At 38.2% G+C, this 22,668-nt stretch overlaps 2 protein-coding genes across 5 annotated transcripts in view; one reads left to right on the top strand and one right to left on the bottom strand.

The window, feature by feature from the left end:
- The window catches only part of BMX (BMX non-receptor tyrosine kinase), a 55,713-nt gene that overhangs the window by 11,951 nt on the left and 21,094 nt on the right, over positions 1 to 22,668 (bottom strand). For 2 of the 4 annotated variants that reach the window (NM_203281.3, NM_001721.7), the window contains exons 7-16: positions 21,982 to 22,223; positions 19,204 to 19,281; positions 18,474 to 18,527; positions 14,542 to 14,596; positions 13,162 to 13,241; positions 10,230 to 10,357; positions 8,142 to 8,216; positions 7,264 to 7,435; positions 2,371 to 2,587; positions 1,434 to 1,498 (exon numbers count right to left, since the gene is read on the bottom strand). In NM_203281.3, the coding sequence (NP_975010.1) occupies positions 1,434 to 1,498; positions 2,371 to 2,587; positions 7,264 to 7,435; positions 8,142 to 8,216; positions 10,230 to 10,357; positions 13,162 to 13,241; positions 14,542 to 14,596; positions 18,474 to 18,527; positions 19,204 to 19,281; positions 21,982 to 22,223 (1,166 nt within the window). The remainder of the gene's footprint in view (positions 1 to 1,433; positions 1,499 to 2,370; positions 2,588 to 7,263; positions 7,436 to 8,141; positions 8,217 to 10,229; positions 10,358 to 13,161; positions 13,242 to 14,541; positions 14,597 to 18,473; positions 18,528 to 19,203; positions 19,282 to 21,981; positions 22,224 to 22,668) is intronic. The other 2 variants (NM_001320866.2, XM_017029752.3) reach the window with 2 other exon arrangements.
- The window catches only part of ACE2 (angiotensin converting enzyme 2), an 89,015-nt gene that overhangs the window by 62,643 nt on the left and 3,704 nt on the right, over positions 1 to 22,668 (top strand). The window lies entirely within an intron of this gene.

The raw sequence follows: 22,668 nt of genomic DNA, 5'->3' as shown, positions 1-22,668 counted from the left end.
GTCTCCCTTTTCCAAAGCTACAGAGAACGTGAAAGCATGTTCCCTGGATGCTGGCATAACAGCCAATATTCTTGCTTTTAGAGTAAAGGTGGGGATCAGTTCCCTTGACCTGGGAGCTTCTCCCTGCTTTAAGAACCTGTCAGCAGATTTTTTTTTTCTTGCTCTTGAGAAAGCTACATGTTTGGAGGGTCAGTGTAGGGGACTCAGTGTATGGTGGTTGGAGTGACGGTAGCTAGTACACAGCTAAAAGGACATCTTGCCAATATTTAGGGCTCCCAGAGGAATTACCATAGCTTCCACGGTATGTGCCACAAGGGTCAAAAAGCATCCCCTAACACTGAATTTTGGAGAAGACATTAAAAAAACAGATCCTCCTATGGCATTTTAGGGCAATGTTTGCTAAATATTAACCTGGCCTTGGTCAACTCTTCAGATCTCTTTTAAACTGCATTATTCACCTTCAGAATTACATATTGAGTCAGCACAACTTTATAGTTATATTTTGTCTCAATGTCAGGGATATCTACTTGCCCTCTAGACTAAACTGTGGTCATTTTGAGAGCAGGGACTATCCTATTCATATCAGTATCTCCTGCAGGACTGAGGTATTCAGTAGGCACTCAATAAATGTTGAATAGAAAGGTTAATGTGTATGTCTTCGTTTTCTTTGCAAAACTATGAAAATTTGCTCTGAGGCTTAAATAGTATTAGGATACAGGATTAAGGTAAAAGAAGACTTTAAAAAAACGATCGTAATCAAAATAATTGTTCCACATCATTAAGTGGTGGTAGAATGCCCATCAAGAGAATCTCAGAGTCTAGTTTTATGCCTTACTTTGTGATGCAGAAAATCTAATGATGTGACAACAAAAATTTTCCTAGTGTGAATGCTCTACCCATTTGAACATCAGGTTTTTTTTTTAATGACAGACAAAAAGAGCTAGCAGATCCTTGATTGAGTTAAAAAATTATAAATATTTATCCATTCTTTTTAAATGGCTGAGTAGTACTCCAAAATGCTTGAGGGGATGGATACCCCATTCTCCATGATGCGATTATTTCACATTGCATGCCTGTATCAAAACATCACATGTACCCCATAAATATGTATACCTACTATGTACCCACAAAAATTAAAAATAAAAAAATTTAAAAGAAAGTAAAACAATCCAATAATGTGGCTGTAACATGTTGTATTTAAATTTAGGATCTTTCATGGAATTTATTTAGAAGTTTAGAAAGTATCAGATTGTTGAAAGAACTAAAAGTGACGTCAGATAATTTCTGAAGAACAATCCCATGGGAGGGACTTAGGTTTCTAAGCCCCCAATTCAGAGCACCTTCTATATCCCCACAAAGCCTTCAATTATGATGGTGTTCAAATGTGAATGGAAATCCCCCTTTCACTGGTTGCCCTTTCGGAATTGGCTTACCTTGTCATTCCAAAGTCAGATACTTTCACACAGAGATCTCTGTCCACCAAGCAGTTACGAGCAGCCTTTAAAGGAAAAACAAAATCACCAAGTAGTGAAAGTGACCAAGAATCTCCTGACATTTTCCTCCTTTTGAGTAGAATTCTCAGCAAAATCTAAGATTACCTAGCACAACCCCCAAGTGCTCTAAAGTTGTCTTTTTTTTCCTTTGCAATTTTCAATTTTTCAAAATAAAAATGTTCTCCCATGAGTACTTTCAACCAAGCATCCATCCTTGTCAAACAACATGAAAAGGTATTACACTTTAAACACAGAACCTTAGCTTATCAAGGAAAGATGAGAAATTTCTAGAATCTCCCTTTCCACCACCAGATACCGTGCATTCACAGATGCTTTGAAGGCATAAACGCTGCACCTGTGACTTAGGGAACACACTGGCCTAGTGTGAATGCAGGTCTACTGTTGAGCGCAAGAAAATCTCTAAAGATAAATCCCAGTGAATACCAAACACAGCATTCCCCACTCTCATTCTGATCCAAAGACACACAAATTCTATTTCCTTTTTTTTTTTTCATGTTCAGTTATTGTATCAAATGGCTGCTTTAGCACTAAGCCCTTCCTGAAATGAAGGTCAATTTGGGTTTAATGGTTTTGAGAGACACTAAATTGGCAGAAGTCTTTCCTTTCCATCTGTTCTCCTTCTTGCCACAACACAGCTATGTAGACCTTAACAGCTTATTTTATTCTCACTGTTCTTTCCATACTTCAAATATTTTTACATTGATTTTTGTAAAAATGTCATTTGCTTAAACAAGTCACAAGTGAGCAAAGTAGAAGTGATGGTGCCCTTCTTGCCTTCCCTACCAGTGACCCCATCTCCAGAAGTGGGAGCCGTGGACTGCTTTCTTTTCTTTGAAATTCCAATGGCTTTGCTTACCAAGTCCCGGTGTATGAATTGGTGACTCTCCAAGAAGGCCATGCCTTCACAGACATCGTAGCACATTTCTAAGAGCTGGGAAGGTTCAAGTCCTTTTCCGTGACTCCTCAGGTAATTCAGCAAGCAGCCATTGCTTATATATTCAGTCACTATGTATATGGGGTATTCCTTTGAACACACTCCATAGAATTTAACCAGCTTGGGATGGCTGAGTTTCCTGGAAATAACAGATTTTCAAAGTTCAATGCTCCACACTCCATTTTCTACATGTACTGAAAAAGAGTTGCTCTCAGATTTCTGTTTGTTTTAATTCCCACCCCCACCCTCTTTCACTTGAACAGAGAAAGAGAGGGAAAAGTTTAGGATCTTATATTTCAAGCACAATTATCTTTGGAGGCAAAAAAAATTTCTGCCTCATATCAGACATTGGTGACTTCAGCAGCAATTTAGCAGTTTGTGAATGCTGTATTCAACTTTCCTACAGAGAATCAGGGTAGCAATGGTCTGTTGCACTGGAAACCCTGTTGAGTCTCATGGCATCCTGGGAACGTCCATGACTTATTTAGAGGAAGCCACACCCTAAGAACAATCATTTCTCTTTTATTAACTTTCACATCTAAATATTTCATTCTAAAAAAGTATATTAGAATACGAAGAATGTAGGCTAAATGAAGTCAGATGAGGTTTGATTTTTTTTCTTTTTTAAAAAATTATTTTACATTATTGTTTTCATTATTTTTGAATAACAAATTTATAAAATACTAACCATATGATGTAGCACTTCTGGTAGGTCATGATGGCATGGACACTCAGATTTTTTTTTAATGAGATAATTTTCATTTTATTATGGCAGATGGTTTTACCGTACCTCTTCCCAGCACCCTTTTTAAAATGATAAAGTTAAGTAGAAGAAAATGGAGCGTAATGTAGCTATGGGCTATTATTTAGTAATCAGATGTTCCAGATGGAAGTGTTTAATCTTGCGAATTGAAGAGTCCTTTAGTGTTTCTTATTAATTTAAGTAATATCAATCTTAAATTTTGTACTAGCCTAGAGCTTAAAAGAAATCAAGCAAACCTTCTTGTAAAGTGTGATTCTTCTACCTTAATTACCTTTCTCATGATATCTTTTCTCACCTATCTTTTTTTTTTTTTTTCCATTTGTGAGATGCATAGGTTAAGCTAAATGTCTAGCGGAGTCTCTAGCAGTGTGCTGCCATATCACCTTTACTTCTCCAGACAGGCTCCCGAACTGCTGCTTTACTCTCTTTACTGTCTTCACGGTTAAGCATAAAGCCTTTTGAAAGTACTTAGCAACTCCAATTACTCTTTCTTTTCTGTTCTACATTGTATTTCAGTGAATTTGGACACATTTTTGGATTGACATGTACTTTACTCTTAGATTCTGAGCTGACTCTGAGTGATCCATTGTACAAACAAACAGTGCAGTAGTGTAGTTGTTAATGAGTTTGGAGGTATTAGCCTTTTTGGGGAGATTAGTCTTTTGTCCATAATATGAATTACAAATAATTTTGCTCAGTTTATCATTTGTCTTTTAGTTTGCATAGGGTTTTTATTTTGTTTTGTTGCCACGCAGAAGTTGATTTTTAAATTTTATTTTTTTTTTTATTATACTTTGAGTTCTGGGATACATGTGCAGAACGTGCAGGTTTGTTACATATATATACATGTGCCATGGTGGTTTGCTGCACCCGTCATCTTCATTAGGTATTTCTCCTAATGCTATCTTTCCCCTATCCCCCACCCCCCAACAAGCCCCAGTGTGTGATGTTCCCCTCCCTGTGTCCATGTGTTCTCATTGTTCAACTTCCACTTATGAGTGAGAACATGCGGTGTTCGGTTTTCTGTTCCTGTGTTAGTTTGCTGAGAATGATGGTTTCCAGCTTCATCCATGTCCTTGCAAAGGACATGAACTCATTCTTTTTTATGGCTGCATAGTATTCCATGGTGTATATGTGCCACATTTTCTTTATCCAGTCTAACATTGATGGGCATTTGAGTTGGTTCCAAGTCTTTGCTATTGTGAATAGTGCTGCAATACACATATGTGTGCATGTGTCTTTATAGTAGAATGATTTATAATCCTTTGAATATATACCCAGTACTGGGATTGCTGGGTCAAATGATATTTCTGGTTCTAGATCCTTGAGGAATCACCACACTGTCTTCCACAGTGGTTGAAATAATTTACACTCCCACCAACAGTGTAAAAGCGTTCCTATTTCTCTCCACATCCTCTCCAGCATCTGTTGTTTCCTGGCTTTTTAATGATTGCCATTCTAAATGGCGTGAAATGGTATCTCACTGTCGTTTTGATTTGCATTTCTCTAATGACAAGTGATGATGAGCTTTTTTTCATATGTTTGTTGTCCGCATAAATGTCTTCTTTTGAGAAGGGACACTCAGTTTTTACAAGCTCATTAACTTGTTCTTATATGATTAATCTAATTTTAACAATTTACAGGATTATTCTGTAATGTTCAAATGTGTAAAGAAATCTAAATTTAACATGTGAAGTTTTAAATATTTTAATAAGAATTTATTAAATTTTTAGTTATTTTCTTCCTTCTTAGTTTAACTATAGGGACAATGCTTATCATGTCACTCAAGTTGATGAGCTTGGGAGTATTCATCTTTTAGCAGTTTTGGAGACCTGCATGGTACTCAACACTGCTCCCTTCAGAGGGAAGGCTTGTGATGGCACAAAGGTCCATCACCCAATAAAGAAATATTCTTTGAACAAATTCAGTCACTGCCCAGGTGGCTCAAGGTGAGGGCGCCATATTAACTGATATTCCCCACATGATAGGCTTCAGCTTGACCCCTACATTTGGGATTAGACTTTTTCCCATTGTGGCACAGTTTGACGTTTTTCTTTATGATTAGGTGATGTTTTTAAATGACTTCTTGTGATTTTTTTATGGATACCAGCTTGGTAATGGCAAAAATATGTTTTAAAGTTACACCAAGACACAGAGGTTACATCATGAGCCTGTAACCATGAGAAAAATCTGGCAGAAAGTTTCTGCCAGATTTTCCTGTCCTACAAGAGGAGAATATCAGGGGCCCCCTTCCCAGTTTTATGACAGTCCAATCACTGAAGGCAGAACCAGTTACATAATTGCAGGCACCAATGCAAAATGAAAATGCAGGAATCCTTGTTTAAAAATCACGAAGTATTACTTCAAGATGACAACAGCAGAGCATTAAACCAAGCACAGGGCCCTTCTAGGTACTGTGCCCTTCTAGGTACCTTCTAGGTACTAGGTACTTCTAGGCCCTTGCAACTGTGCAGATCTCATATGCCCATGAAGCCAGCTAGGGCCAAAGGCCTATATTCACATAGCATCTCTGCTTCCAAATAATTTTGCAATTATGGTAAAAGTGATTGTTCTGACTTTCCTAATTCCTTTGGTCTTCATAAAAGAATAACTAAAGAAATGGACCCTAGAATGTCTGCCTGGGTTTGTATCTCTGCTTTTCGACTTTTACTAGCTTGCCGACTCTGGACAAGTTATTCAACATTTCTGTGCTTCGGTTTCCTGTAAATCTAAGATAACGATGGTACAACCCTCATAGGTTTCTTATGGGGATTAAGTGAGTTAATATTTGTAAAGTGCTTAGAGAAATGCCTGTAAACACTGTACAGTATAACTGTTTAAGTAAAAATTTAAAAAGTGCTCTCAATCTCTAGCAGGCTAGGAATTTTTTTATTTCAACTATTTTTGACCAGAGACCTACTATAACATCATTTTTCATACCATACTGATTGATTCTCTAAAAGTAGAGTGACCAACTGTCCTGGTTTGCCTGGGGCTGGGAGGTTTCCTAGGACACAGGACTTTCAGTGCTAAAACCTCCCAGACCTCAGCAAACCTGAATGGTGGTCACTCTACAAAGTCTGATTTACTATGTTGACAAGAAGAGGGAGAATTATATACAACTGAGAGAGGGAGAGAGAGGGAGAGAGAGAGAGAAGGAGAGAGAGGAAGAGGGAGAGAGAGGGAGAGAGAAAGAGAGAGAGGGGGAAGAGAGAGAGAGAGAGAAGACACAGAGGGAAAGAGAACACATATGTATTGCCAATAATTGAAGGCTGTTGTGCTGGGAGCTGAGACACATTAGGAAGAGTATTAGACTGTATTGAAGGTACCAAGAAGGAAAAGGATATTGTTGGTAGAGCATTAATTTTCAGTACTGCATTAGTTCTGGGTGGTAGCCCCACTCTGTTCTTCATCCCACCATGCACCTCCCCACAGGGCAAGGAGGCCACAGGGCCAAGGAGACATGCCTACTCCGACCCTATATGTCCCTTTCTCTGCCACCCTTAGAGCACCAGGACTCTGAAATCACCCAACCATATAGTCCTGAGGCCTCTTTCAGGACCTGTGCTGACTCTTCCTTAAGGAGTCTGTCCGCTTAAGGGTAAAGCACACTACCCCTAGCCAAGATCATTAGCCACTAGATAATTGTTTGCGGGAGACAAAGAGGGAGCTTGTGTGTACTGAATGCTGTGTCTGTACATAACTACTGAGGCCCCTTATAGTGCAGGACGGAGTTGGGTATGAGGGGAGAAGCAGGAGGGGTGGAGTTTGGAAGACCACAGGCCAGAGGCTGGTTTCTTTGTAGAGTCTTGGGAATTCTCAATTTGAATATGGCCTTTCAGGTTGTTATGAAGGTATATTTGTCAAAGTAGGAGCATAAGACTGATTTGATTTAATAGTCTGTTAGTTCAATTTATAACTTCTAAATATTTATGTCTATGATACAGTATGTGGACTTTTGCTCTAGGCCTTGCAAAGTTAACAGCAGGCCTATTAGTGCTAATGCCCTCCCATGATGAGGGCTAAACAGCCATTCCTTGGGAAAAACTTACATCATAGTCTGGGCCTCCTGAAAGAATTCATCTTCTGACATGGAGCCCTCCTTGATCATCTTAACAGCAACATCATACTGCCCCTTCCACTTGCCCAGCTGGACCACTCCAAACTGGCCACTTCCCAGCTCCTTCAACAAGGTAATCTCTTCTCTTTTCAGTTCCCAGATTCCTAACAAGGCAAGACGGACATTCTTTAGGACGAGCATAGAAAGCTTTGGGGCTAACAGCTTCCCAAGTGATTTCTTCTCCAATGGGAGTTTCACAGTGACAATATAAACAAGACTTTTTATTTTAAGTTGATAAGTTAAAAAAAAAAACCCTTAGTGATGTGGTCTTGTGGCTACGTGATAATGGCACCAGGGTAACACTATTCTTGAAGTAGCTACAGTTATTTAACAAGAAGGCTCAGAGTAAAAACAATTTGCCAATCAGAGGCATCTTGGAGAGGCTTAGCATCAAAATGTACTCGATGTCCTTAGATTGGTAAAACATTGTCAGATTTTTTTAATAAAAAAATTAAACTGTGATCGCAGTGGATGTGATCGTCCTAACACACAAGGTTGAATACTGGCTCTGCTCAGTGGGCACAAAATCCAGGAAAAAGATAGGACAGACAATGGTGTGCTGGAGGCTAATAATGGGGTCTGATAAGAAAACAAATTGATGATCTTCTTGGTGATTCTAGAAGCTTACAGATTTAGGTTGAGAGGACAGATTTTTTTTTTTTTTAAAGAAAATCCTTCCTGATACAATCTGAACAGAGGCCTCCTTCCTGTCTTTCCTCCTTTTTTTTTTTTTTTGCCAGTAAATTAACCATATATTTAAATAAAAAATGATGGAAAATGGAGTTTAAGAACCCAAGTATGTATCCATACCATTTCCCAGGGACACAGAGTCGGGGACCTTGTTGGCCTTTGTTGACACAGGGTGGCGGAGCCGTGTGATCATGCCTGCAATGGAATCAGCATCATATCATCACATCATTATATCATATCCCATCACATTATGTAACATTGGTTCACAACTAGTCTCTCTCCAAAGTGGCTGAAAAAGCAAAGAGTTCAGAATGTTGTAATGCAGAGAGAGAATCCATTCAGTTGTAGTTGTGCTTAACTTGACTAATTAGCTTAATGCAAAGCGAAAATTAAATGAATAAAACACTGTATGTGATTTTTAAAAATCCCATAGAAATTAATTGCATGATGTAATCTTTTAAAATTCTCCCCCTTCTTTTTTGCTATCTCTTTACAATCTTATGCTTAAAATATGTATACACACAGCACATACATTTGACAAAAAATTCAAACAATACAGAAGGGTAAAAATAATAAGCCATCTGAATTTTTAAAAACTGAACCTATTACTAAGTTTCATTAAGTGGTCAAGCCATTTTAATTGTTTATATTTAGTTATGGTAAAACTGGGTTAAAGTAATTATAAAATTTAATAGTGGCTTGAAAGAACCCATTAAAATATATGTATATATGTTTTTTGCTTTAAATGTGGAATGCTCTCCAAGTCAAGGGACCTATCTATCACACATGTACTTTTCCCCTCCTTCCTTTTTCTATATATTTGTCTGGTTTTTATATGAGTGGTCTCCAAACTTTTAAAATCCTTTACCTTTAATCAACTAAATTAATTAATTAAAATGTAAAAATTAGTACATTTCTATAAAATATATATTTGGTGTGAATTATAAAAATAAACTCACAAACAGAAAATGTAAGAGAATGAGATAAAAATCCAAATATAAATAAACATCTTAATATTTCCTTCTGATATCCTGTGAAGTTTCCTGTGCATCTCTTTGTGCAATACCTTTTACAAAAGGTACTTCTGAGGTACTACAGGTTAAAATAAACAATTGAGGAAATTGGGGCAAAGGAAAAACATCAGTAAGAGCCAAAATGAAAGCCAGAAGTGAGGTCAATTCACCTACATGCATGCAATCAAGTCATATAAAGTAACACAAATTAAGTGCTGAGCTTATGGCTTATTTTTACTCACTGTTGGAAATTCATCCAGCCACTGCTCTTAAGTGGCACTATTCTAGAAAACAGAGGGTATTTCTAGATGTATTTCCACCAGTTGATTAGGCAAAAATTTAGAAGACTAATAGCACCCAGTGTTGGTGAGGATGAAAGAAAATGTTGTTAGTAGGATTGTACATTTCTGAAAAGCAGTTGGCAATCTGTACATTTTAAGTATTCTTAGCCTTTGTCTCAGAAATTCCATTTCTAGGGATTTGGCTATAGAACCCCTCATATAGATGGACAGAGCTATGCATGCAGAATTGTGCACTGAAACATCCATTATAATGTGAAAATACTGGACATGATCCAACTGCTAATCAACAGAGGGCTAGGTGAATAAATTATGGGGTAACTATGATAGAATTCTACACAGCTGTTAAATAGACCAAAGTAAGCTCTTTGTGTTTGCGTGGAAAGACTTCTAAGACATGTTGAGTAAAGAAAGCAAGCTGAGCAATATGTGTAGAATGATCTCATCTCTGTAAAAATGTAATGTATATACATAATATATAATTTCTATTTATATATGTAATGATTAGTAAGTGCTAGTGGCAGCATGCAAAAAACCCTGTCATAATAGACAACTGGTCCATGATCCAACGATATGTATATATTTCTATAATATTTTAAATTTATAATCCTCTTGCTTCTATACACAGAAAAACCCTACGAATATTTTTATAAAGAGAATTTCTCTTTCTAAGTCACCCAGTTTACTCAATTTCATTCTTTCTGGCATTAAGGAGAGAATCATGTTATATTCCTGGGAATGTAAGCTAAAAATTATGATAGGCAAAAGACTTGAGAGGATTTTTTCCTACTTTCATGGTTCCCTATATAATTAAGAATATTAGGAGGATCAGTAGTATCCAGGAAAATTGCTGTTTTACAACAAGGGCCCATAAAAGAAAAACTAAAATAAGTTACCTGCTGAATTGTGTTGATGATAATGAATAAGCTTTGGAATGGAATCAAAACAGTAGTTTTCTGCCAGGTATAATTTGTTCTCAGCATTTGTATGCACGTGGTAATGTTTGACAGTTCCTTTTTTATCACTAGTAACAGAAAGAATGTTAGAACATTTAAAATAAACAATAAAGCTTGATTAAGCAAGGGTTAAATAATTATTTTAGGTGCATTTGCAAATTTTGGAGAGGGAAGTCAGGGAGGTTTTCTCAGGCTTGGCATCTGGTGTTTTTCTCAGTCTTGAAATCTGGTGTAACTATAAAAGTAATTATGGAAGAGAGTTCTTCTCTGAACTCAATGTATCTTTTGGTGCACATATAGATTTCATGTACAGTAAAATTCCAACTTTCCAGGCTTCTCCTCCCTTAGTAAGTGTATAAAACTGGAATCTTTCTTTGATGATCGAGAGAGGCTTGTAGTTCTTCAGGATCATTATTCTGAACATAAATTATCTTATAGGATAATAATGGAGGTGGAAATGAGAGAGGTAAAGGTGATTAGGCTGTTGGGTATCCTCACCCCAAAACATGGGAGGAGGCTCTTTTGGGGCATGCAGAATGAAGTAGGTGAGGATGTCCTTTAATTCCTCATGTGAACTTGTACCTTCTCCACATAAAACACTTTTTTCTTTTCCTCTGCTTTTATACAATAATGCTGAATTGATGCACGTTGATTTAAGCTAATCAGGAATAATACACCTGTCTTAGATTGTAGACAATGACATAGTGGTCAAGAACCAGGCTTTGAGTTTAGTTCTATCACTTGCTAGCTACCTATATGGTTATGCCTGGCATATAAGAAACAGTTAATAAATTGTTGCTGTATAGCAAACTAACACAGGAACAGAAAACCAGATACCACATATTTTTACTTGTAAGTGGGAGATAAATGATGACAACACATGGACACATAGAGGAAAATAGTAGACACTGAGGCTTACTTGAGGGTGGAGGGTGGGAGGAGGGAGAAGAGCAGAAAAAATAACTATTGAACACTAGGCTTAGTAGTTGGGTGATGAAATAATCTCTACAAGAAAGCCACATGACAAGAGTTTACCTATATAACAAACCTGTCACATGTACCAATCAACTTAAAATAAAAGCTAAAAAATTAAAAAATTGTTGCTGTAACATCAACCGAGTAAAAATTGCAAGTACAAAAGGAGAAATGGTTCTTCTCTTTGCTGCAAATGTTTAATCAGCTTTTGGTGTCAGCATACAATTCACTCAAGGCCATTGATGAGGTTTCATAAAAGAGGGCTTCTGTATTCATTTGATTCTTTATCTATTTGCTGATTTATCTACCTGGCTACCTTAAAAAATGAATCTGTAGTCAAGAAACTCAACTACAAGGACATCTGATACCAGGTTTGGCTGAAACTGCAGGGCCAGAAGGCCACAAAACTTTTGATAGTCAACAAAGTCTTCTCCTGATTCTTACTGGGTTGGCTTTAGCCAGCATCCAGGTGTTACCATGTGCAAAATAATATATGAGATACACTGGGGACATGGATTCTGGCATTGGAAAGTGCTGTGGGACAATTCAGGTACATCCTATTATCTCAAGTGTAGGTAGGCACTCTGTAAAAAATTTCAAAATAAAATAACGTTTTTATTACTTAATTATTATAAATATACATATATGCACTGTGGGGTAGGGCACATGGGGAAGGCACCAAGGCAGACGATCATTCAATCTAGCTGCTAAAAAAGAGTTGCACACATAGAAATTTAAAAGAAGATCCGAATCAATATTTGACCAGATTCTCATTCCAAAACACTGGGGGTTCAGTGTAAACACAGAGGTGTAGATAAAGAAACATGACTTGGCTATTGGAAGCCCAGCTTCAAATTAGTCACTTAGTAGCTCCAGGTAGGTCTTTATAAGCTCTTTTTGAACCTCAATCCTCTCATCTGCAATATGGTATAAATAAAAACAGCTTTCCCATTTGCTTTGGAGGACGATTAGAAGGAAAAAAAAAGAGCTAACTACCAATAAGAAAGTGGCTTGTAAAACTCTGGAGAAGGATTTTGATGATGATTTGCATGAGATGACTGTGGGGTGTCTTTTATGCCCAAGTGTTAGGGTACAGGGAGTGGAGCAGGTAGAACTACCCTTCCCCAGCAACAACAACAACAATAATAGTAAGTACTATTAGTTTATTAAGTGCTTACTATGTGTCAGGCACTGTTCTGGATATAATATATTAATTAACTCACCCCACTCATAGAACGTAACAATCATTATGTTCCCCTTTCAAATGAAGAAGTTGAGGCACAGAGGCTGAGAAACTTGCTCAATGTCACAAAGCCCTATTGAAATAGTAGAGCCAGGATTTGGATCTAGAAGTTTGGCTTCAAACAAGAACTTTTAGTCACACAAAGAGGACAGAGCCCTGGAAGGAAGCTGTGTAGAGAACACAGCAGCACTGAGTCAACCTTCTGCTAACTCTGCACCCAGTGGAAGGGCTTACTAAGAACTGGACACTGGAGTAGGCATCTTTGCTCAGCAGGTGGCTAGGGCTGAGAGTATAGACGCTCCATTGCTATTTTTTTTCTTTCCAGGCTTAGACCTGAATGAAAGGGAATCACCCGAGAGTCTCTTAATAAACATTTACTGAGGCATGCTGTGCTCTGGGCACTCTGTTACTGCCTGGAGTGGGGCAGGAGAGGATTAGCCAGAGAATGGCCTCTTGAAAGTAGTGGGGCAAGGATGGTGGGGCAGTGGGGTGAGAGTGGTGGAGGCAACTACAAATGGTCACATTCAATAGAAATACTTTGATTTAAAATTCCAGAGTTTAAAGATGATGTCTTATCCCAAAATGTGATTGTGACCAGCATATTCAAAGAATATACGCAGAAAGAGAAAAGAAATTAATCCGTATCATACTTACTTCACAGCCTTACTAAATAAGGACACTGTGTACATTCCCACTTGGCTCGAATTTCTAACCATAAATGCTCCTTCTTTTCCCTGAAAAGGAAGGAAAATATAGAAGGAATAGAAAATATTTTCATCATTCTTGAAAATGATTTTGCATGGTAGGTAGTTGGAAAACAAATCTTTTAGATTGACTTTATATATCACAAAAGGCACAGGTTTCTCACTCAATCTCTTTATAGATCTGCTCTATGTGTATGTGTATGTGTATGAACTCTTCCTCTCCAATTAATATTTAACCCTATCACTTACTTTTCTCGGTGTTGTGCTTATGCAAGCCTAATGTTTTCATCTTTAAGAAATACAATTTAGAACCGTGTATCACCGTATCATGCCTTTGGAAGGTTTTAGAAAACCAAAGATCAAGAATAAATCAGTTGATAAAGTTCTATACTCAAGTTGTCTTTCTCAATGATTTGTGCTAATTCTAAGCAGATCAAAGTTCAGAAAGAGCAGATTATAAACTATGAATGTGACAAAACGCCAAATGAAGTCATTACATTCTCACTAGCACCCCTCAAAGAAATAAGTGTAATGTTTAGTGTTTTTATCAGGTTAAACTATATCAAAGTGTCATTTTTAGAAATCAAAAGAGTTTGCTACTGGCATTCCATATCAATTAGTAATAAAGTCAGATAAACATGTTCTGTATCACATCTGCTATACTCTGGTCTAGGTGCTAACGAGCAGTGACAGAGCTGAGGTTAATGGCTACATTGACGGCCTCCGATAAATCATCTCTCTTATTCATGCTGTGAGCAGTCCCCTCCCATACTGACTCTGGGCTGAGCCATGTGACTTGCTATGACCAATAGGACCTTAGCAAACACAACAAAAGCAGAGACTCGAAAAGTGCTTGCACTGTGGGGCTCGTCCTCTTCAACTACTGCCTTGAGATCACCATGCTGTGAGGAGGCCCAAGTGAGGCACATGGAGAGACTGCTTGGGGAAGAACTGTGGAACTCCAGTTGACTGCCTCAGCTAAACCCAAGCCCCCAGTCAATCCACGACCCAAATGCAGCCACAGGAGTGCCCCTAAGCAAAACTTGCCTAAGAACTGCTGGCCCAGCTGACTCACAGAATCATGAGATATCATAAATCCCACTGTTTCAAGCCACCCAATTTAGGAGTGGTTTATTATGCAGCAATACATAATGGACACAGAAGTAGTGGCTAGACATGAAGAGTCGGGCAACCCACAGACTGGACAAGCAACACTACAATGACTTGACTATATAATTAGCAGGAAGGTTTCTATGAGAAATGCATCAACCTCTGGACCCCAAAATGCAAAGAGATTCTGTGAGGCTGTTTTAAAGACAAGACTATTTACCTTTTGTCTGAGTAACTGTTCAGATTGTGATCTGGAGATGTTACCAGCAAACCAGCTGCAAAAGGAAAAAAATTATATGTGAGAATCAATAAGTTTTAGATTGTATAGCTTGACACTCAACTTTCTAATCTGTAAAATGAGGCATTGGCTTACCTCAGGGGTTTCCAAGCCTAACTGCTCCAGAGAATGATTTGAGGAGCTTTTCAGAAATACAAATGCTTAAGTCCCCACTACTAAATTCTGATGTTGGGGTGGAGTCTGCACATCTAATTTTTAAATGGGCTGGCATTTAGGAATCTTTGGTTTTCTTCTAGGTGACTTCTAAGTTTTCCTACATTTTACCATTTTGAGTAAGGGCTAGAGATTAGACCTATGAAGAATATTCCAAGAGGAAAGTCAGGGCTGCCAAGGATGAAAGCTCTTGTCTTCCAATCATATAATTTCCTTGTAATAATCTGATTATAACATCTATTTTCACATCAAATGCTTTTACTTTATATGTGGAGCTCAACAGGCCAAGAGCTGTTTCTCATGTGAGGGCAATAATGTCTGTGGCCTTTGGGCTTTAGACAGAATGTCCTACTTAGGAAATGAGTAAAAGCAGGGCATGAGGTGGGATGTAGCATGGGTTTGGGTGAGTGGGAGGACCCACTGGCTAGAAGATAACATCTGCAGAGGAAATAAGTACAAGAGGGGGGTGAGGGTAGAAGGGAGGAGTTATAGGAGAAATTCAATGTAGAAGGTATCTCAGAACTTGGCAGGAATGGATGGGAAGTGATTCTTTGTATAATCTCTGTATGAGTTTTGGGAAGGGATGTCAGCTGGTGGACAGCTCAATAAAATAGAAAGAGCCTTAGGTCACCCAGCTTGGAGGTCTGGGTTCTAGGCATAACTTCCCTATGTGTAATTGTATGACTTTGAACAAGCCACTTGGCCTTGTTTGACCTTGGACTTCCCTACCTGTAAAACTAGGGAGAGGGTTGATCTTGATAAGTTTGAAAGTCTCTTTTAACTCTACCATTATGGATACTGTATAACTAACACTTGAAATTTTAACTGATCGTTTTTCTTATTAGTCAACATTTTAAGGTAATACTAGCTAATCAAAAGGCCCTTCAGGGGCTGTGATACAGGATATATACCTACAGGGGAATAGAAGGAAGAAAATCAAGAATCAGGAGAGAGGCCTGGAGAGGCAAGGTGATATAACCTATGTACCCTATACATTATACCTCCCACACACATACAAACGTTGCCTGTGTCATAATTTTGCTGAGGCCTGCCTCTTATTGTTTTAAATAATATTTCAGTATTCAATGACAGAGCAGCAGAGTCCTAGGCCTAAGGTTTTTTTTTGTTTGTTTTGTTTTTTGACAGGGTCTCACTCTGTCACATAGGCTGGAGTGCAGTGGTATGATCTCGGCTCACTACAGCCTCGACCTCCCGGGCTCAAGTGATCCTCCCACCTCAGCCTCCCAAGTAGTTGGGACTACAGGAATGGGCAACCACACCTGGCTAATTTTTGTATTTTTGTAGAGATGAGGTTTTGTCATGTTGCCCCGGCTGGTCTCAAACTTCTGAGCTCAAGAGATCTGCCTAGCTCAGCCTCTGAAAGTGCTGGGATTATAGGCATGTGCCACTGTACCTGGCCAGGCCTAGTCTTAACACACGATTTTCTATCTAAATCTCAGGGCTTAGTGCTTCTGTCTTTAATGGAATTGACTGGAATTGCTCATGAAGTTATGGCCATAAAACAAAAACTCCCATGACACTGATAGAATAGGAAGCTGGGAGCATTAAGCACAATGTGAGGTGACTGAGTCCCAGATCCTATAGCCCTATAATCCCGAGCTCCTTTTGGTATCTTTTTGATTTTGAAGAGGACAAGTCTTCCCTGATAATTTCCTCAATGTCTGTCTCTCACACACCACTTGCATTCAGAAAAGATGGGAATAGAGACTGTTTAAATGGTCATATCTGGGCTTACCCAATCAGGGAAAGACTTCTAATTTATTTAAATGCTAAAGAGTACAATCCACAATTAGAGGTTCACTCCCATTGGTTTAAGTCTTTGTGTTTCATTAAAGTGCAATTATCTTTGGAAATGACCATGCGTTGGTCATTCTCAGTCTTTTATGTCTTAGTATGAATTATTCCATCAATGCTTTCCTGAGAATAGATGTTAGGGAAGAAAGTAAAGCCGAAAGAGAGCTAGAAGGTGATAAAGAGACCATGCCACAAAGATGTGGAGGGTACAGCACATCTTCCCCAATGCAACAGGTATGGCTAGGACCAGGCTGGGTTAGAGATGAGAGGAGGAGTGAAAACAGTAGCATGTACTTTGTAAAAGCTCTCGTTTCACATGTAATCAATAAATCAATAATACAACACTTGTACAAAAACAGAACTGGAAATATGCATAATCCTAGTGTTCAAGTGAATTCTGTGCCATTTGGTATCAAGTGTCTGAGAAATGCAATATGCTCTATTATTCCCACCTCTTCTTAACACTAATCTTTACATCTAGGAGACAATTATTTGTCCCTATTTGTAGAATGATAGACCCTTAGATTTTGGAAAGAACCTTAATAGCCACTTAGGCCAACCTTCTCAGTATAGTTGGGGTGACCACACGTTCTTATTTGCCCAGAAGTCCAGTTTATGTCAAATGTCCAGGTGTAATTTTTATTTTAATTTTTGTGAGTACATAGCAGGTATATATATATGTGTGTGTGTGTGTGTGTATATATATATATATATATATATATATATATATATATTTGTGTGTGTGTGTGTGTGTGTTTGTGTTGTTTTTTTTTTTTTTTTTTTTTTTTGAGACAGAGTCTTGCTCTGTCGCCCAGGCTGGAGTGCAGTGGCGCCATCTCGGCTCACCATAGCAGGTATATATATTTATGGGGTACATGAAATATTTTGATACAGACATGCAATGCATAATAATCACATCATGGATTATGGGGTATCCATCCCTTCAAGCATTTATCCTTTGAGTTACAAACAATTAATTATACTCTTTAAGTTATTTTAAAATGTATAATTAAGTTATTATTAACGGGTATAATTTTTAATAGTGCACTTTTTCTCTTTCTAAAGTATCCCAATTTTGATGTTAAATGAAAAGGTTGGCTGGGTGAGGTGGCTCACGCCTGTAATCCCAGCACTTTGGGAGGCCGAGGCGGGTGGATCACCTGAGGTCAGGAGTTCAAGACCAGCCTGGCAAACATGGCGAAACCCTGTCTCTACTAAAAATACAAAAATTAGCTGGGCATGGTGGCAGGCGCCTGTAATCTTAGCTACTCGGGAGGCTGAGGTAGGAGAATTGCTTGAACCTAGGAGGTGGAGGTTGCAATGAGCCGAGATCATGCCACTGCACTCCAGCCTGGGCAACAAGAGCAAAACTCTGTCTCAAAAAAAAAAAAAAAAAATGACAAGGTCATCCTAAGAATAGAGATCTGTCGACATAAATATTGCCATGTTCAAGGTCTCATTTGTGCTACCCTGTAAAATTACTGCATCATTAATAACTTCTCCAAAAATATTACTCAATGTTAATAAGAGCTTTCAAACATCACCTTAATTAGAGGTCTCCAGGAAAGAAATAATGAGCAGAAACATTATATGCTACATCTACAAAGGTAAAGTGAAATGAAGGTGACGCTGGACATACGATAAATCCAATAAGTATTTGCATCCAATTTAGATAATCCAGTTTTGGGGAAAATATTTTCGTTGGTAACAACCCAGCTCATTGTCACCTGTCATCTAGATAAATGACCCAGAACATTACGTGAGTTTACCCATGTAAATACAGCCTCCTGAGACGGTCTCAGCCATCTGTTTTAATGTCTTTGAGGAAGAGAGTAGAAGTATCTATGTCTAATTTTAGAAGAACCCAGAAGACTTTCAATACTCACTCATAATCATCCAGGTTTTCCTCTTCTTCAGATGAACTTGACTCAGGGAATTCCCTTAAGAAGAGTTGAGAAAAACGTGAGTGCAGAAAAGCACCAAGAAATAATCCAAGTGCGTAGCCATGCAATATCAAATCCCACCCTGATTTTATCCACCTAAATAACATTTAGATTGTTAGGTTTCTCCTTCTGCACCTGGCAAAGTATCAACACAGCAACAGTAAAGAGAGAGTCACTCAAAAGTTGGGCTTATGCCAAGTTTTAATGAAAGAATGGTTCTTTGATACAGGAGATCCCCAGGAGGCCCCCAGAAGAACTTATATTTCTTTGACTTTTTCCAAAGAGTGGGCTCACGAAATAGATGAAGACTCCTTCAGAGATGGCTGTAGTATCAAGTTAAAAAAAAATTGGGTTGTGTATATAGCTATTCTTATGGAAGAGTTATTCAACTCTAGGTTGCTTTTCTTCCTGCTAGAGATGCCTGGGTCAGGTATACTAATGTTGGTGCTACTACTGGTGTATGTCATGGATGCTGGCTAGGAATAGTCAGTTCAAGAAAAACTAGAACCCAAAAGCCATCCATTCAGGGTTCAGAGAGGCAAACTACATAGACTTTTTTGGTTTATATTTACCTTAAGTAGAAAGCCTAGCTGCAAAATTATTGCAAGTTTGGTTAGTTTTCCTGAAAATGGAAGCATATTCTGGATGTAGGAGATATCTGAATTTGATTTACCATGAAATCTTTGAGGTGGTGTGATTCACATTTCTTTCTTTTTGGTTACTGCTTGCAACATCTTCACTGCTGCTGCTACTGCAAAAAAGAGACATTTTATAAGTTTATAAACATATGTCTACTTATAAATTTTAAATGACAAAAGTAATTTTGTTCAGATATGTTTTAGCTTTATTTGACATTTTGACCCACACATTTCACTTGTTTGGGAAATTTAAGCTAATGAGTTACTTTCACATTTTGGTTCTTTCAGGCATTCCAATAAAAGCAGTAGTCTGGCAACACTTCTAAACAAAAGAAAATTGTTAATAATGGCTCATAATTATCTTAAACAATGGAAAATCTAGATTAATAAATCATCTTGACTGGATTTGCCCTGATTTTCTTATATATATGCAAGCATTCTGTCACTTATATATTTTAAAATAACTTATTTTCCTCTTAGCTATTGTGACTACAATTAAAATTCTTGAAAATGCTGATCTTTTTACTCCTTCTGGACACAGATGGATAAGGAGGATTTTCATCATCCTCTGCCATAGATCATTTTATCTCTTTTATTTGGGGTATTAAGCAGAGCATGAAGAAGTGCCTACCTCTCAAAGTCTAAAGGCTGTTTTATCTGGAATGTGGAACCTATTTCCTGTTTGCCTTCATAGTCCAGACTTTTTTCAAAACCACAGTTCATAGAAACAAGTTTCCTTAGCAAGGAAATGCTCCCCTGGCTCTATTTCAAGGAATGCCTAGATAAAGCCCTTAAACTCTAAAATGCCTCTCTCTCCACCTTCCCAAAGAGCCTTGCCCACTAGAATAGCTTTTATTTAGCCTTGTTGTTTCTAAAAACACTTAGAGAATGTCCATCAATAGTGCATCACTTAGGTTTACCTAGTATCTATACAACTGGTACTTACAGACATTAAAAATAATCAGGCAATTTGCACAACAATGTAAATGTACTTAACACTACTGAACTGTATGCTCAAAAATAATTAAGATGGTAAACTTTATGTTATGTATATTTCACCAAAATTAAATGAAAATGAAATTTTAAAAGTCAGGTGTATCCTCATGTATTCAAATAGGAAAAATGCTGAAGATGTCAAGTGAAAAGAACAAATGACAAAGACTGTATCGTGAGAACTTACTTGCTTTTGTATGCACATGGCCACATGTGCATAGAAAACATTTTAGGGGAATGTAAATGGAATATTCTGTAATATTTGAATGATTTAATGGGGGCATAGATTATCTTACTAAACAGAAAGTAGATTAAAAAGAAGCTCAGGGAAGATTGTAAGAATGACAGAAAGTTGATAAAAAGTATTATCCCATATATGAGATAAGAATCATGGCTGCACTTTAAAAAGTCAAGCTCCATGAAGACCTTTTAGCAATTATTATAATTTACTTGCAGATGCAATGCTGCTCATGCTAAGAGGTGATCAATCAATCCTTTGTTAAAATAACTAGCTTCCTGAAGTTCTAGGGAAAATCCACAGTTGGGACTAAACCTAAGGAGGTGCAAATCTAAAGGAGTGTCAAAAACTCAATAATGGCAGCAACCCCATGTGAATCGACAGTTCCTCCTGGTTATTTGAAAACAGGGCAGTCAGCTTCACCTCACACCTCTCTCAATGAATCACTGGAGTTTCTGTCAGGAAGGGGACCTGGAACACAATTAACATGACTTTCACTCTCCTTGCAACTGGGTTTACTGATCCTCTCCTTCCACAAGAATGGTGGGCTGCAGGCGCACAAATGTAACCCCATACCTTGGGCACCAGGTATAGATTAATACACTAGGATTCTAGCTCCACTTTGGAATGAAAGGGACCATGGCTTATTATACTGAAAAAAAATCAAGAAGAACACACTTACATTATTTCAAATTCCATATGGCCCTGTATTATTGAAACTTTCAGTAATTGGCTTTAGGCAAAAATGATGAAGATGGAAAGAACAAAGGAATAAAAGGACATGGGAAAAATAACTAAGAAAAGAGATACATGGTGAGTCAGAGAGATGCTCTGTATCCATTGTGGGGAAAGGCAGACATGACTTCCCTGCAGGGATGCTGATAACTGAGTGAGAAGATGGCAGAGAGTAGACAACATGATAGGAAGGAGGTCTGAGACAGGAAATAAGGAAGGGGAGTCACTTGACCCTTTCCATATGGTCATCTTGCAATTCAATTCAACATTTATTGGGCATCAAGTGTAGGGCAAATTCAGTGCCATACCAAGAGATACATACATACACAATTTACATGTTGCCTTCAAGGAATTTTCAATTCTGGCTTTAGATAGAATCTTTAGGCTAAAAACTGTGAGAAGACTAATCAGGTCAGGAGAGGTGAGGTTGTACATTCCAAGAAGGCAAGCCATGGCCTTGCTTGAAATGCTATTTGCCATTTGGCTAGTGATACTGAAGCACATTACAAAAGTAAGCCCATCCTAAGCTCTTTCATATAAAGGATAGATTTTTAAAGATTCTGTATTCTGGAATGTGGAGATATTTGGGGGGAGAAGGAGGAGAAAGGGAAGGGAATACAATGATCAGGCATTACTGAGATCATTAGATTGGATAATCTAAATGGAAAATCTATGCTTCTCAGCCCCAGTGGGGCCACTGCTTCCCCAGACTTCTGGCTCAAGCACTGAACATTTTCTGAGAGGACAGCCTAAGACCTGGATCAACAGCTTTGAGGCTGAGGTCCAGGGCAGCCGGGGTAGTGTTTACTCTACATGCTGGGCAGCCCGTCTGAAAGCTGGGGATTACCTTTTCAGTTTTCTTACTTGCCACCAGTCAGGGAAGTCTTCCCTTGGAATATACTGCATGTTGAAGTTTGGCTGGGAGCCATAGATTTTCTTTGAGTTGCTGTCATATTGCGCTAGACTGGTACTTGAAGATGGTGGCTGGGAGCCATAGTTTTTCTTTGATTCGTTGTCATATTGGGCTAGAGTGGTACTTGAAGATGGTGCATCCATTTTGAGAACAGGAACTGCCCGAGGTATCTTCAGCTTTGGAGGGGAAGAAATTTTAATACATCACAGTGAGGCACAGATTCAGGTACCGGGAACTGACAATTAAGTATATCAGCTCTTGAAAGAGAGAGAAAGGAAGGAGAGAAGGGAGGGAGGAAGGGAGGGAGGAAGGGAGGAAGGAAAGAGGCAAGGAAAGAAGAAAGGTATGAGCAAGGATATGGAGCAACTGGAACTCATATTTTGCTGGTTGGAGTATGAAGTGGTACAACAACATTGGAAATTTGTTTGCAGAATCTAGTAAATCTGGATGTGCATCTGGTCATACCCTATGACTCATAAATTTTACGTATATATACACAACAGGGAAACCAAAAGACCTGTAAAAGAATGTTCATAGCAGAATTATTTTAATTAGATAAAAACTAGAAACTGCCTACATGCCCATCAAGAGGATAAAATAATAAACATGTTGTGGTTGTTG

This window comes from Homo sapiens, chromosome X, assembly GCF_000001405.40.
Source record: "Homo sapiens chromosome X, GRCh38.p14 Primary Assembly".
Classification (NCBI taxonomy): Eukaryota; Metazoa; Chordata; class Mammalia; order Primates; family Hominidae; genus Homo; species Homo sapiens.
This window is presented reverse-complemented; position numbering and strand designations above follow the sequence as displayed.